Source organism: Homo sapiens, chromosome 21 (genome assembly GCF_000001405.40).
Source record: "Homo sapiens chromosome 21, GRCh38.p14 Primary Assembly".
Classification (NCBI taxonomy): domain Eukaryota; kingdom Metazoa; phylum Chordata; class Mammalia; order Primates; family Hominidae; genus Homo; species Homo sapiens.
The window spans coordinates 7,134,445-7,149,472 of record NC_000021.9 but is presented as its reverse complement, the minus strand read 5'-3'; the positions used below and the strand labels follow the sequence as shown (position 1 = coordinate 7,149,472).

At 43.0% G+C, this 15,028-nt stretch overlaps 1 long non-coding RNA gene across 1 annotated transcript; it reads left to right on the top strand.

Annotated features, from left to right (window-relative positions):
• Positions 1-7,148: 7,148 nt before the first annotated feature.
• On the top strand, positions 7,149-13,844 carry LOC124904989 (uncharacterized). Its single transcript, XR_007067798.1, has 2 exons — positions 7,149-9,334; positions 10,164-13,844. It is a non-coding gene; the product is annotated as an uncharacterized LOC124904989 (long non-coding RNA).
• Positions 13,845-15,028: the final 1,184 nt, after the last annotated feature.

Genomic DNA, 15,028 nt, shown 5'->3' with positions numbered 1-15,028 from the left:
CACACACACACAGAGAAAAAAAATTAGCCGGGCGTGGTGACAGGCGCCTGTAGTCCCAGCTACTCAGGAGGCTGAAGCAGGAAGATGGCGTGAACCCAGGAGGCAGAGTGCAGTGAGCCGAGACTGCACCACTGCACTCCCACCTGGGCGACAGAGCGAGACTCCGTCTCAAAAAAAAAAAAAAAAAAAAAAAGATATTCCCTGTAGCATGGCTGAAGTGGAAATAGAATTTATTATGTCAGGCTCCACCAGTATTAAAAGCCTAAATTACTGAGGGAAAGGCCCCACTTATGGAATCTTATAAAGACATATGAGGACACAGCTCCTGTCCTGATGGGGCTATAGAGGTGGGCTCTGGGACACATATGTAAAGAGTCATATAAGACCCTTTTGCATAACTCCCACTTTTTGGGTGAAACCTCTCTCTAGTAACAGTGTGAACTTCTAAGACTTAGAGAAGGTCTGGCAAGGCAGCGAAGCTGCCTGCTCCAGGAAGTATGTGGGGTAGGTAGATATAACAATAAAAATAATAGCAAAATGCAAAGATACTCACAACTTAATGTAAAGTAATAACAACACAAAAGTGTTTCTTTTGACATTCCTGCAAGCATATGACCAGGGACTGTGCACCTAAGTTGCCATTATGGACTAATGGAGGCCAAATTCCTCTGGGAAGGAACTGTGGGTCCTTAATGGAGAAAGCCCTAAAACGGTTTCTGGGGAATCCTCACATTTGGGTCAGGGTCCTGGGCTTCCCTGGTCTTTTCCATTTGGAGACCTCTCTGTGCCCACCTTGACTCCAGACTAGCACGGGCCATGGTTGTTGGCATGATGCACCTGCCTTTTGTTCAATGAGATGGAGTAGTTGGACTCATCAAACAGCTCCTCAGGGATCTCCTCAATAGAGTTCTGCAAAGAGAGTGCCTGGAAGCCTGGCCAAGAGGCATCAATGGCATCCTGGCTTTCCCCACAGGGGAAATTCCAGTTAGAAAGTCTACTCCCCAGATCAGGCACATAGGAGCATTTGCGCAGACCTCCAGCCAGGGAGAAAACAAGAGGACAGCTTGAAGCCTTAGAATAAATGTCTGAACAAACAAAGGTGACCCCCAGCACTCACCTTCCCCTCCTGCCAACTGTAACCTGCGGTATAAATTTGACAGGCTTTTAGCCTCCCAATACCTGGAAACCTGCTCCTGCCAAGAAAGGACCCATTATCTCTTTCTTTCCCACGAGACGTGGAGATGAGGAGGGGTGTGTGCCTGCCGAGATGATATCAAAGGTGAGGCCTGGCCTGGATAGGCCTGCCATGGGTGGCCTTGTGTTATCTATGGGTAACCCTTTCCAAATGGCCAGAAGAGCCAGCAGTGCAGAATGAGCACTGTCTCCATCATAAAAAAAAGTCTCTCTGTTCAAGCCTTCCTGAGATGAGAGCCTCAGAAATTCAAGACATAGCAGGAGAACATCTTGCTGTCTTCAGAGTCTCCTTAGTAAATACAAAGCTGTCTCTAGAATTAGGGCTCCAGGTTACCAGAGTTCTAAACTTTCTTTGAGTTTGTAACTAAGGAAGTGAGGTCACTTCGAGATTCCATCACCTGGGCTCCGGTGCGGGAAATGAACGAGGGGAAAAGAAAAGGCACCCACAATAGTTTTAAGGATAAATAGCCTTTATCCCAAGTGTATGGCAATACAGACTTGATAAGCAAATAATATAATAAGCAAATTGCAATGGGAAGGACAGAAAGAAAATATATATATGTATATTTATATACATATACATGTATATAAATATACATATATGTATATGTATATTTACACGCACCAGACTATGGAGGATTCATTACCAGACTGGGAAGCAACAGCCTGGGCTCCAGAGTCAGCCACGTGTCCATGCACAGATGAGGAGAGGTCTCATGAAACTTCAGCACAGTCTGGGACCCTAGCTCTTTTTGTAATGTGTTGTTTGGCATGAGGCGCAGTCACAGGTGCCCTTCACAACTGGGCTCAAGGAACACAAAAGATCAACTTGTTTTTGCAATTGTCTGTTGTTTTTTCAATAACTAATGTATAGGAATGGATTGAAAGATTTCTCTGAAACAGCGCTGGATGAACACCTCAAGGGGTTCATGCAACCTGTTCCAGGACTTCGTGACCATTGTTTGTGCCCATGTTCAATTGAGTTCATATTAAATATTTAACTTTTCCTCCACATTAGATTCCCAATTCTCAGAACCATGTCCACTGCCACAGGGCCTGGCTGGGAATATTGTCACTCATAGAGTTTAGAAGATGGAATGCTGGTCAGTGATGATGCTAGGGTGTTAGGTGAAGGCAGCCGGGACAGTCCCTCTAGGTTGAGGGAGGAGCTGGCCTCTCTTGTGGGGTCCTTGGCATGTCATTGCCGCTTTGGGCCTCTGTTTTCTTATGTGGAAAATGTAGGAATGATGAGCCTGTTGGGCAGGCCTCACAAGGTGGTGATGGGGCTCAGGGAGACAGAGAATCTGAGGGTGCTTGTGTCTGGCTCATCCTGAGAGGGAAGATGGTGACAGCAATCATGACAACCACATGAAACCGAGGTGGTAAGAGGCCTTGTGAGGTGGTTGGTTCCCACCACACTTTCCAGTTGAGGAAACAGCTCAGGGAAACCCGACTGCATGCCCAAAATGACACATCCAGGGAGTGTTGGACCTGGGAGTGAGTCTAGAGTCAGAGCTTACTGGAGATGGTCAGAGCATTGGACAAGCTGACTCAGGCCACTTATCCGTGTCCAAGGTTAGTGTGGCTGAGGCGTAACTGAAAGAAGCATATTTTCACTGACCTTGTCCCTCATCCTAGCAGGTGAACACCGTACAAGTTGTCTACCCTGTAGCGGAGCCTCAGAGAGCTTAGATGAGGCTGTGACAGCAGAAGGTGAATGTGTCTGTGATGGGGAAGGGCTCCAGGGTTTCAGAGAACAGAGCTTACTTCTCCCAGCTGGAAACCTCCAAATCAAAAAAGCAGAGGGCCTTTCTACTCCAGCCCTTTTCTCCTGGGGCTGCAGTGCCTAAAACACCTTCATTAGACAGACCAGAGCAAGGCCTGGGAGAGCTGGGCTCCGTGTGGCTTTTAAAACAGGTGGAGCCAGGGACCACATGACCTTGTGGCTTGTTAAAATCCCACCAAGGAGGTAATTATGGTGAGGTTGGTGGCAATAGAGGCCAGCTAATGGGAAGACATAGAGAATTGGGAAAAGGCAGCTGAGGGTTCTCAGCTACTCCAAGTGGGTAACCTAGGTAGAGGGCGCCAGGAGGCAGGGGTTTATAAGAGTTCAGCGGACAGGACTTGGGTGGGCACCTCCCAAGTCATGCCCTCTCTGGGGACATTCCTCACTGATGTGGTGATGCTGGACATTGCCATGAAGGAGTGTGTGGATGTGAGTGAGCCTGGAGAAGACAGGTCAGGGACCAGGATCCTGAGGCCTGGGAGAAGAGAGTCTTGAACTGAGCTCCTAGATCTCAGTCCTTGCCAAAATTTTTTGCGAGGGCCTCGCAGCCCTCCCCATCCCGTAAACAGGGTATTTTACTCATGAGTGATGGAGGCTCCACAGCAGCCATCAGTCCCACTCCCTGAGTAGTGAAGCTGCAGAGCTGCAAGACCTCTTTTGTGCACATTCCCTGACCCTGGTGGCTCTGGTAGTGGTGAAGCTTGGAAATCGCTGGAAATGGAGGCTAGTTATGGACCAGCGGACCTTTCTGATGGTCTTTGGCTTTCTGTCTTCCAGAGAAATGTGATCAAAACCCAGAAAAACAGAAAGGTGAGCAGTAGCTGAAGTCCTCACTTTGAGGGAGGGTGGAGGTGGAAATGAGAAATCACCCTGGGCAGGACATTCCCTGGTCCCTTCTTCCGCATCTAAGATTTATTGAAAGGGAGTAATACACAGAGAAGGAGGAGACCTATCCTAATGCAGGGTGCAATCAGGGGAGTGAAGTTGATGACAACTTCCTAGAGGAAGGGCCGTTTACATTCAACTCTGAGAACCAGTTAGGGCTGCATGATATTGGAGGGGAGGTGAGAGCCCCTTAAAAGAAACACCTCAGAGACCAGCCCTCCTCCCTTCTTTTATAAGGCCCCTACAGAGTCTTTCACCCAGGCCCTGTCAGCATCCTGTCTTTCCCTCTGTTTCCAGAAGATTAAAGTCCTCCAGGAGATGCAGCAGTTCCACACAGCTGGAAACCATCATCATCTTCAGACTCAAGAGGAATTTCGGGCTTTGTTCCAAGCCTGGAGCAGCACAATCAGAATAAAAGGCAAAGACCTAGCAGATGAGCAGAGGGTAGGAGGGGAGACTGTCTTGCCGCCAGCCTCACACAGCGTGTGGCCATGGTTCCCTGGCCGGCATCAGGTCCTGTTGCACCTGGACTCCAGCTGCTGGGGAGGAACTGGGGGACCTGAGGTGTGGCTTCTGGAACCTCACAGCTGTCACTCTTCTCTGAAGTTGCTAGCCATGAAGAACAGGCTGTGATAAAATCTCAGAGCCATTAAGTGCCTGTTGTTGGAATTGCTTTCATGGCTCATTGAAGTTTGTACTAAGCATGGGCTCTGGCAGTCAGGCAGCTCAAGTAGGGTTCCAGCCACACCATTGACCAGCCCTGCGAGTGGGGCAGAAAGCTCACTACTCTGGCACTTGAGGCATCACGTCGTAAATTTAATGCAACCAATCCCTTTTTCACTGTTACCTACCTTTCTCTATAAACACCATGACCTGATCTCTGCTAGCATTTTTCTTAAAATGGATAAACATATGTTATATAGTATATATTATTCTTCCTCATGATTTTTTTGCTATATTGTCTCTTTCCACTCATATGAGATATTTACAGCAGTTAAGTTCATAGAAACACGAAGTAGAAGAGTAGTTTCCAGGGACTACACAAAGGGCAATGGAAGGGGAGTGTTGTTTACTGGGTACAGAGTTTCACTTTTAAAAGATTGAAAAACAGTTCCTTATGAACTTGGACAATGGTTGCAAAACAATGTGAATGTATTTAATTTCTTTAAACTGCACACAAAAAAAATAATAAAATGGTTAATTTCATGTATTTTTATATTTTACTAAAAGGTAAAAACTACTTTCTAAAATGAACAGACTATAGCTATTTGCAACTGGTGGGTGAATATCACAAATGTAATGTTGCATAAAAGAAAGCAGACATGCCAGTTTGGGCAACATAGTGAAACCCTGTCTCTACCAAAAATACAAAACAATTAGCCGGGCATGGTGGTGCAAGGCTGCGGTCCCAGTGACTCAAAAGGCTGAAGTGGAAGGATATCTTAAGCCTGGTAGGCAGAGGTTGCAGTGAGATCATGCCACTGCACACCAACCTGGGGAAAAGAAAGAAAGAAAAAAGAAGAGAGAAAGAAAGAAGGAAAGAAAGAGAGAAAGAAAGAAGACAGAAAAGGAAAGAAAGAAAGAAAACAGAAAAGGAAATAAAGAAAACAGATGTACAAGTATACATACTATATAATTTTGTTTATATAAAATGCTACAATCAAATAAAACTGAGGTTCTGACTTCCACTAAGTGTGGACTAGCTTGTTGAACTCTCACAAATAACAATGATGAAACTTGAATAAAATATATTATTATAGAAAAACGCCTATGCATAATACATATATGATATGTGTGTTTAACAACTGAATGAAGATTTCAGCTATACCCACTGTAGCGGACATAAGCATTGGTTTGACACTAGCCCAATGAACCCTGTTTATAAAACAAAAGTCTTCAAGGTAAAACAGCAAAATCCAGAGTTTCTATTCTATAATTATCATTTATAGTTTCTAGTGCACAATTTTAAAATTCATAAGACTTGTAAAGAAACGTGAAAATGTCATCCATACACAATATCAAAAGCAGGCAGTAGAAGCTATCCCAGGATGTTGCAATCAGCAGACAAGAATTTGAAGGCAGTTTTTATGAATATGTTCATGGGGAAAAAAGAAAATATTCTATTCATAAACAAACAGATGTGGAACTTCAGCAGAGAAATGAACATATATATAAAAAAATTATAGATAAGGAAATGAAAAAAATCTTTTGAGTTTAGCCATAGATTTAAAACAGAAGACACAGCAATAGAAATTATCCAGTCTGGAAAAAAAAAGTACAAAAAGTTTAAAGGAAATGAACAGAACTCTCGAGACCTGTGGAATGACTGAGTCTAAGGAGAAGGGAGAGACAAAAAATAATTAAATAGGGAACAGAAGTAAATCAACAACTAATAGCGGAATACTTCCAAAAACTGTCCAAATACCTAAATATTTATATCCAAAAGGTCAATAAATACAAAACAAAATACAAATAAAACCACAGCAAGGCCATATCGTGGTTTATGAAACAGGCAAGGCAGGGCTTTTGCTTGACTTGCTGTGATATCTAATTGCTACTATTTATGGATACTATGGAAATAAATACTAAATAGAATGGGAGATAGGTTATTCTCAGAGTTTTTTTTTTTTTTTTTTTTGCAAAGATGACTGTTATTAAAGGTAGATGACTTTCCAGCATGTCGAAAGGGGCGTGGCAGGGGAGGGGCGAGGAGAAGGGTCGGGGCTGAGGGAGGGGCCCTGCAAAGGTCTGGGCGCGCCCAGCTCCCCGAAAGCAAGCGTTACAGCAACGCTGGGCAGGCTGTTGGAGGCTCCCGGGCTCTGTCTTGTCAGAGAGAAATCAAACTTCAGGCACAAATAGTCGTACAACTGGCACGTGGGGAGACTGTGCCACAATTACAAGTGAGACCACCTGCCCTGGCCACGCTGTCTCCTCGCACGCAGAAGTTTGGGAACAGATAGGCTCCCCTCAGCAGGGCGGAATTGCACTGGAAACATGGAGGGGCGGAGGAGAAGATGAAATTATCCCCTCAGTGTTGGAACTGTAGTCTCAGAGAAGATGAAATTTTCCCCGTAGTGTTGGAACTGTAGTCTCAGATCCACTCCCAGCCTTTCTGTCGCGGCAGTCGGACTATGATCCCAGCATGCGCTGGGCTTAAGGGAGGTTCCCAGCCCTGGAGGAAGGGTCAACAGGGTGGGTCCCTCGCAAGGCGTCCTGGGAGTCATAGTCCTTAAACAGTTTCCAGCACGTTGATCGCAAGGCTACCGAACTACAATGCCAGCATGCACCGGGATTGGGGCGGTGTGTAACGCTGGAGGGAAGGATAGAGAGGCGCGTCCCTGGCCAGGGATGCTGGGAGTTATGGTCTCTTAACGGTTTCCAGCGATGGCCCCCGGCCTGCAGACTACAATCCCAGCAGCCACCGGGCTTCGAGGCGGTGTGTAGCACTGAAGGGAAGGATAGGGAGGTGCGTCCTTAGCCAGGCGTGCTGGCAGTTATGGTCTCTTAACAGTTTCCAGTCAGTTGGTCCCAGGACTACCTGACTACAATCCCAGTATGCGTTGGGCTTGGGGGCGGTGCGCAGCCCTAGAGGAAGGATCGGGACGGCGGGTACCTCGCAAAGCATCCTGGGAGTCATAGTCCTTTCAGTATTTCCAGCCCATTGGTCGCGAGGCTAACGGACTACAATCTCAGCATGCGCTGGGTTTGGGGGCGGTGTGTAGTATGGAAGCGAAGGATAGGGAGGCGCGTCCCTAGCTAGGAGTGCTGGGAGTTATGGTGTCTTAACGGTTTCCAGCCCATTGGTCGCCGACCTGCTAACTACAAAACCAGCATGCGCTGTCTGTCCTACCCCGTGGTGCGCAGCCCTGGAGGGAGGGACAGGGCGGTGTGGACTCGTCCTTTCCTAAGCGATGCCACATGCTGATTCTGTGCCACCCCCTCGCCAAGGGAGTCCGCAGAAGGACTTGAGGGGCAGGTCTAGGCTGGGCGATGAGGACGGTGTGACCCTGCGAAGTGCACCTCCCTTGCTCAAATCGGAGGGGTCTGGTCCTCACTGAACAGCCCGCTGAACATCTCGGTGTCCTCTCACATACACACCCGCGGGGGGTTTCCAGAGCATCGCACCTCTTCCAGCCCAGGGAGCCGCCTGCTCTGCTAAACTCTATGGGAACTGAGACATCCACCTGCTGCGTGACCCACCCGTGCGCAACTTCAGAGCTTTCAGGGGGTGATGCGGGCTGTGGCTCCTTCGTGAAAATGTCACCGTCTGCAGCGCCTTTCTTGTGATATAGAACTTGACGGGTGAGAGCGGGTATTTCTTGGGTTACTCAGGATCTGCTAACAGCAGAGGAGAAAACCACAATTCCCAGGCATAAGAATCTACCTAAAGACGATGGTTTAGATATTTTACAGTTGAAATCACCAGCCTCATCTCAACTGAGTCCTGACTGACGAGTGTCTCAAAAAAGCAGTTGGTGACCTCATCCCTCAGGAACAGGTGGTGCTCCAGCTTTGTGGGGATGACTTTCAAGGTGCAGAGCACTTGAGCCGCATTTGAAGTCATTCATGTTTTACATCTCTGCTTTGGATGGAAAGTTGATCCCCCACAGCCGTTGGGGATGTACCTTAATATACTGGGGCTTATGAGTTAAATTTTTCTGTCTAGACAATGAAAACCCAGAAGTTCCACTTGCAGGTAGCCTCTTAATAATCGACGTCCCTAAGTTCCTTATGTCCTCAGGATAGTTCCTTTTGTTCCCAGATGTTACCAACTTTGATGATGCATCTAATCTGTATAAACCTGTGTATTTCTCTATGTGAAAAGAATACTTTGTTCAAATTACATGTTCTTATAATTTTCACTTGTGATCGGTGAGTATGGGACACTATAAAAAAATCCTGAAAAACCTCATCATAGCAATTGAATCACGTTACTGTACTTTATGAGGAATTAACCCCTTCAGGATGAATTACTCATGGGTTCATCAGCACATTTGTGAAGAAAGGAAGAAAAACTGTATGGCCTTTATGAAATTGGAAAAATAAAGAACTATATATAGGAGGACCACAGCACAATACTAGGGCCCTTCTCTTATTTTAAATAGACTCTATGGGGTCGAATGCCTGCATTCCTAACCTATCCTGCAGTATTCTCATCCTACTCTTCACTGTGTATTTAGGTGTGGGTTTCTGAATTCACTTGTCCACAGCGTTAGTGGGGATGTTGTAACGTGAGGGTATCCATCATCTATCATCTTAATAATTAGTGAAGAGAAGAGCCTTGAGATCTGTCTTCAGATACACTGCTGCCGAGTATGTGCCTGCAAAGACACTGCCCACACCGGTGGTCTCAGAAAGTTGAACCTGATGCCACCACAAGCTGCTGTTCACAGATCTAGGTGCTCCTGGTGATTTGAGTCTCCTGCTTACATTTGTGGTTGTGAACCTGCTATGCTCACCCCATTTATGGTAGTATATTTTGTGTCACCTTTTCTATTCCATTTGTTTCCTGGGAACTCACTGTGTAGCTGCAATTCAGAGAATATGTAGGGATTCCACCCCCGACTACCTAAGTCACTGTACACTGGTCACATTTGTGTCATGTTTTCAGACTACACACTCTTCCTCTCTAATGGAATTTGTTGAAGAAATATAGTTGCCTGTAGATCTCCTCAGTGTAATGTGGCTGGGATTGATTGTGAAGCTGGGCATGTTGTCCTTGGCCTCATAGACATTATTCAAAATACCTTTCCCATATTTTGAAGTTTGATACTACTTTGTTAATGTGAACACTTGCCATAGCAGGCTCTATTAAATATCTCTGTGAATTTAACTGTCAAAACAACTTATGAAGTAGGCACATGATCCCCATTTTACAGGTGAGGAAACAAATGTTCCAAGATTTTGAGTAATTTTATTAACTTTACACAGCTTTCTGGTGCATTTTGAATCTTAAGTTGGATCTCTTTCTCCACAATATATGGGCTTACCTCCTTTTCTATTTTGTGCCTCTCTGCTAGCATCTGCAAGGGTACATTTTATTTTTAGTACATCTTCCACTTGATGGTAGGAAACTTGACAAACAGATCCTTAGTGGGAGAGGAAACTCACTGGCATTTGTCCTTCTCTCTGCTCCTTCTTACCCTGGCAGGCATGAGACTTATCAAGTGAGATGGAGCAGTGGTAGATCCTGACCAGTCCTCACCTGGAATATTTGTTATTATAAAAAAATAGTCCTCTCATTTTTTACAAGTGTAACTTCTTTGCCTTAAAGTTTTGTCTGGGCTTTCTCTTACAGGTTCCTGCGAATTAAGTTGCAAATATTGATGAAGATAATACTACTGCCTTGCTGTCAAACAGTAACAGTCACCTTTTTTTGTATCTCCAATTATAAATGCAATGCGTACTGTAAAAAGAAAAGAAAACATCATAAATATCTTTATAAAGTAAAAGTCTTGGCTGGTCGCCGGGAGCAGTGACTCATGCCTGTAATCTCAGCACTTTGTGAGGCCGAGGTGGGTGGATCATGAGGTCAGGAATTTGAGGCCAGCCTAGCTGACATGGTGGAACCCCATCTCTGCTAAAAAATACAAAAATTAGCTGGTCTCGGTGGCGGGTGCCTATAATCCCAGCTACCCACGAGGCTGAGGCAGGAGAATCACTTGAACCCAGGAGGCAAATGGTGCAGTGAGCCAAGATCGTGCCATTGCACTCTAGCCTGGGCAACAGAGTGAGACTCCATCTCAAAAACAAAACCAAACAAAAAACTTGGTTGGCCTAGTGGCTCAATCCCAGCACTTTGGGAGCCCAAGGCAGGTGAATTGTTTGAGCCCAGAAGCTCAAGACCAGTGTGAGCAACATGGTAAAACCCTCTCTCTACAAAAATACAAAAATTAACCAGTTGTGGTGATGTACACCTGTATTCCCAGCTACTAGGGAGGCTGAGGTGGGAGGATTGTTTGAGCCTGGGAGGCCAAGTTTGCAGTGAGCTGAAATCACACCACTGCGCTTCCATGTGGGCAACAAAGTGAGACCCTGACTCAAAAAATAAAAAACACATTAAACTGAAAGTCCCCTTTATTCCCTTCTCTTCAAACTCACTTTTTTTATTTGAAAAAACTGTTAAGAGGTTGTTTTTTATTCTTCTGGCTAAGTTGTATAAATTTCTTTTTTTTTCGAGACAGACTCTCGCTCTGTTGTCCAGGCTGGAGTGCAGCGGCGCGATCCCGGCTCACTGCAAGCTCTGCCTCCCGGTTTCACGCCATTCTCCTGCCTCAGCCTCCCGAGTAGCTGAGACTAGAGTTGCCCGCCACCACACCCGGCTAATTTTTTGTATTTTTAGTAGAGACAGGGTTTCACCGTGTTAGCCAGGATGGTCTTGGTCTCGATATCCGGCCCCCTGATCTGCCCACTTCGTCTTCTCAGAGTGCTGGGATTAGAGGCGTGAGCCACCGCCCCCGGCCTGTTCTATAAATTTCTAAGTGATACACACATAAAGTTTATTTTAAAAATTACATCACACTACATTAAAATTTACTCTTTCTCCAGGTGTATTCCATCTATCTATCTATCTATCTATCATCTATCATCTATCTATCTATGACAAGGCCTTGCTCTGTCACACAGACTGGAGTTCAGTAGCTCAATTATGGCTCACTGCAGACTCAAACTCTCAGGCTCAAATGATTTTCTAACTTCAGCTTCTGAAGTAGCTGGGAGTACAGGTGCATGCCACTACTCCTGGTTAATTTTTAGTTTTTGTTTGTTTTTTTCTTTAAACAGGGTCTCACTGTGTCACCTGGGCTGGAATGCAATGCATAATCACAGCTCACTCTAGCCTTGACCACTCAGGCTCAGGCAATTCTCCTGCCTCAGCCTCCTGAGCAGATGGGACCACAAATGTGTATTAACACACTTGGCTGTTTATTATTATTTGCAGAGACAGGGTCTCCCTATCCTGCCCAGGCATGTTGTGAACTCTTGTGCTTAAGCAATCTGCTACCTCGGCCTCCCAAATTGCTGGAATTACAGGTGTGAGCCACCACAACTTACCCAGCCTTTTTACTTTGTGTAAGAATAGCATCAGTGTATTAAAAATACAACGGAAATTATTTATGGTGTCTTTTCAATTCTTATGCATTAAAATTCTCTTATTAGGGCCTTTTATTAATGGTTACAGTGTATTTTCTGTGAAATTTTACTGTCACACACTGCATGCCAATGATTCAAGATACCCGAACTTCATGAATGCACAGTCACAGTAGAATATTTTAGTTATCTAAAAAGTATTTTCATAAATGATATATCAAGTTTATATGCAAGGTAGCCTGGTCTGGTAGCAGGTGCTTGTAATCTCAGTGAAGGCTGAGGCAGGAGAATGGTTTGAACTCAGGAGGCGGAGGTTGAAATGAGCCGTCGTCTCGCCACTGCACTTCAGCTTGGGTGACAGAGTGAGACTCTGTCTCAAAAAAAGAAAAAAACTTTGCTTGCAAGATTTTATGAGTAAATATGTTTCTTATTTTTCTTTACAATTCCATATTACTGTCTCGATTATTTATAATAGGTTCCAGGGCAGCAGTTGATTTTATTTTGGGTTTTACTTATGTATTATAACTTTGGATGTTATAATTTCCAACTCTGCCTGTACACTTCAAGTCAATGTGGATTTTTAAAAAAATGTTAATAGTACAAACTATTCATAGATTCAACTTCGTAATGTTAAAAGCAACGGCAGCTCCTGGTTTAAAAAGGGAACGGTGGAAGCAGCCGGCCATTTTATTTAAAATCGCGTTAGATTTTTCAGAAGGATGATAGTTAAGATCATTAAATCCCATTACTGCTTCTAAGATTTCCACAAAATAGCACATTAAATCCTCAGTCCTAAACAATCACGACAGAGATTCAAAATTGCCTCTCAATGTCAAGGTAAACAGCGCACTATCTTCTCTTGCAATAAAGGTACATCATTTGATATACAAGGGAGCATAGCAGTCAGACACTTACAAGATCGTGCTGTAGAAATAACTTCCATGTTTTCATCCGCCATGTGTATCCTCACCTCTGTCTCCCATGCAGTAACACTATCAGTTTCCTCATCTGTCCTTTCTACTTTCTTTTAAAGAGGAGGCTGATTGCAGACAATACATGACAGAGGCATTTCAAATCAGAAAGGAGTTTCTTGAGATATACGTGATTTTAGTTTTAAGTAGAATGTCCTGAAGAGTTTTAGTTACAATACCACCTTCAAGAGGATGGTGGTGAAATTCATAGTAAACATTTGGCAAAATATAGGTTATGAGGCAGCCATCTCCTAGAAACACTTCATCGGGGTTTATATATGAAATGTGAAATATCGTAGGTTTAATCCTGGCACAGAACCAAAACTGAGTGCATTGCACTTGAACAGCTGACCAATCCCCAGCACAGGTCCATATGAAGAAACGGAGAAGAAAGAATCCTTTTAACCACAGAAAGGTCTTCATTTGCCCAAACTGAAAACCAAATTTCACTCAGGAAACTAATGTTGGGTTTAATTAAAATATAAATCGGTCATACGTTTTCAAAATTAAATTATATATGTGTTTGTCTCTATAAATATGTCCCCAACTTTGCTCATGGCTTATCTTCCATATTTTTTGGCTGATTTTCAGTGGTTGTCTTATCTTGTGTGGATGAATAGTCATTGAAATAATCTTAATTTCACAATGTGTTTAATTATAAATCTATACTTCCTTTGTGTGAGAGAAAATCTTTTGTGAACAAAATTTAATTTTTGGAAAGCTTTATAAGTCCATATTTTTCCTTTTAAAAATTGCGATTGTGGTAAAAACACATAATGTAAAATTTACCATTTTAATTCTTTTTAAGTGTATATTTCATTAGCGTTAAGTACATTCACATAGTTATGCAAAAGATCTGTAGAACTTCTATGTCTTGCAAAACTAACATTAAATGTCTTTTAAGACAATTGCCCATTTTACCATCTCTTCAGTCCTTGACAAACACCATTCTAACTTTTTTTTTCTATGAGTTTGTCTACTTAAGATACCTGATTATGAATGGAATCATAGACTGTCACTTTGTTCCTGGCTTATTTCAGTTAACGTGATATTCTCAAGAATAATCATATAATGTGACTTTTTAAAGACTGAATAATATTCGACTTTGTGTATGTGCCACTTGTTGTTAATCTCTTCATTGGTCAAGGGACAGCTGGGTTGTTTCTGCCTTTTGGCTTGTGTTAGTAATGCTGCAATAAATTTGGGTGTGCAAATATCTCTTCCGGATCATGTGTTGTATATTTTAAATACATAGCCAGAATGGGGTTTGCTGGATTGTATAATAATCTCATTTTAAATTTTTTGAAGAGCTTTCATACTATTTTAAAAATAGGTTTGATGTGATAGATTATTGTGACTTTTCTTTGTATTTTTCTAGAAGAGAGTTGTCGAGTATCCTTTTAAATGCCTAGTCATTTCTATGTCTTCTTTGGAGAAAGTCATTTCAAACATGTGCCATTCTAAATCAAGTTATTAACTTTTTTTGTTGTTGAGTTTTAGGAATTTATATATTTTGAAAATTAACACCTACCAAATATGTGATTAGAAAATATTTTTACTCTTTTTAGTTATATGTATGTATGTATGCATATATATAACCCTATACAAGACAGGGTCTTGCTATGTTTTCATGGCTAGTCTCAAACTTTTGGTCTCAAGTGATTGTTCTGCCTTGGCCTCCTAAAGTTGTAGAATTAAAGGCATGAGACACCATGCCTAGCTTTCACCCACTTATTAGGTGACGTTTGTATGGCACTAAATGTTTTATTTGATGTGTAGAATAGTTGAAGCTTAATGTAGTCCCTTTTCTTGGTCGTTGTTCTTTTCCTTGTTGCTTATGAATTTGATGTCAAACTTAAGGAAAGAGTTTTAAGACTTATGTCATAAACTTTTCCCTTATGTTTACTTCTAAGAATTTTATTAGGTTTTATGTTTAAGTATTGAATTCATTTTAAAAACTTTTCTTTTTATATATGATACAAAGGAAGCATCCAACTTTATTTTTTTCTCTGTAAATATTCAATTTGGAAAACTCTTTGTTAAATGGATTCTTATTTTTCTATTGTGTGGTCATGGAAAGCTTACGGAAGATTATTTTATCACA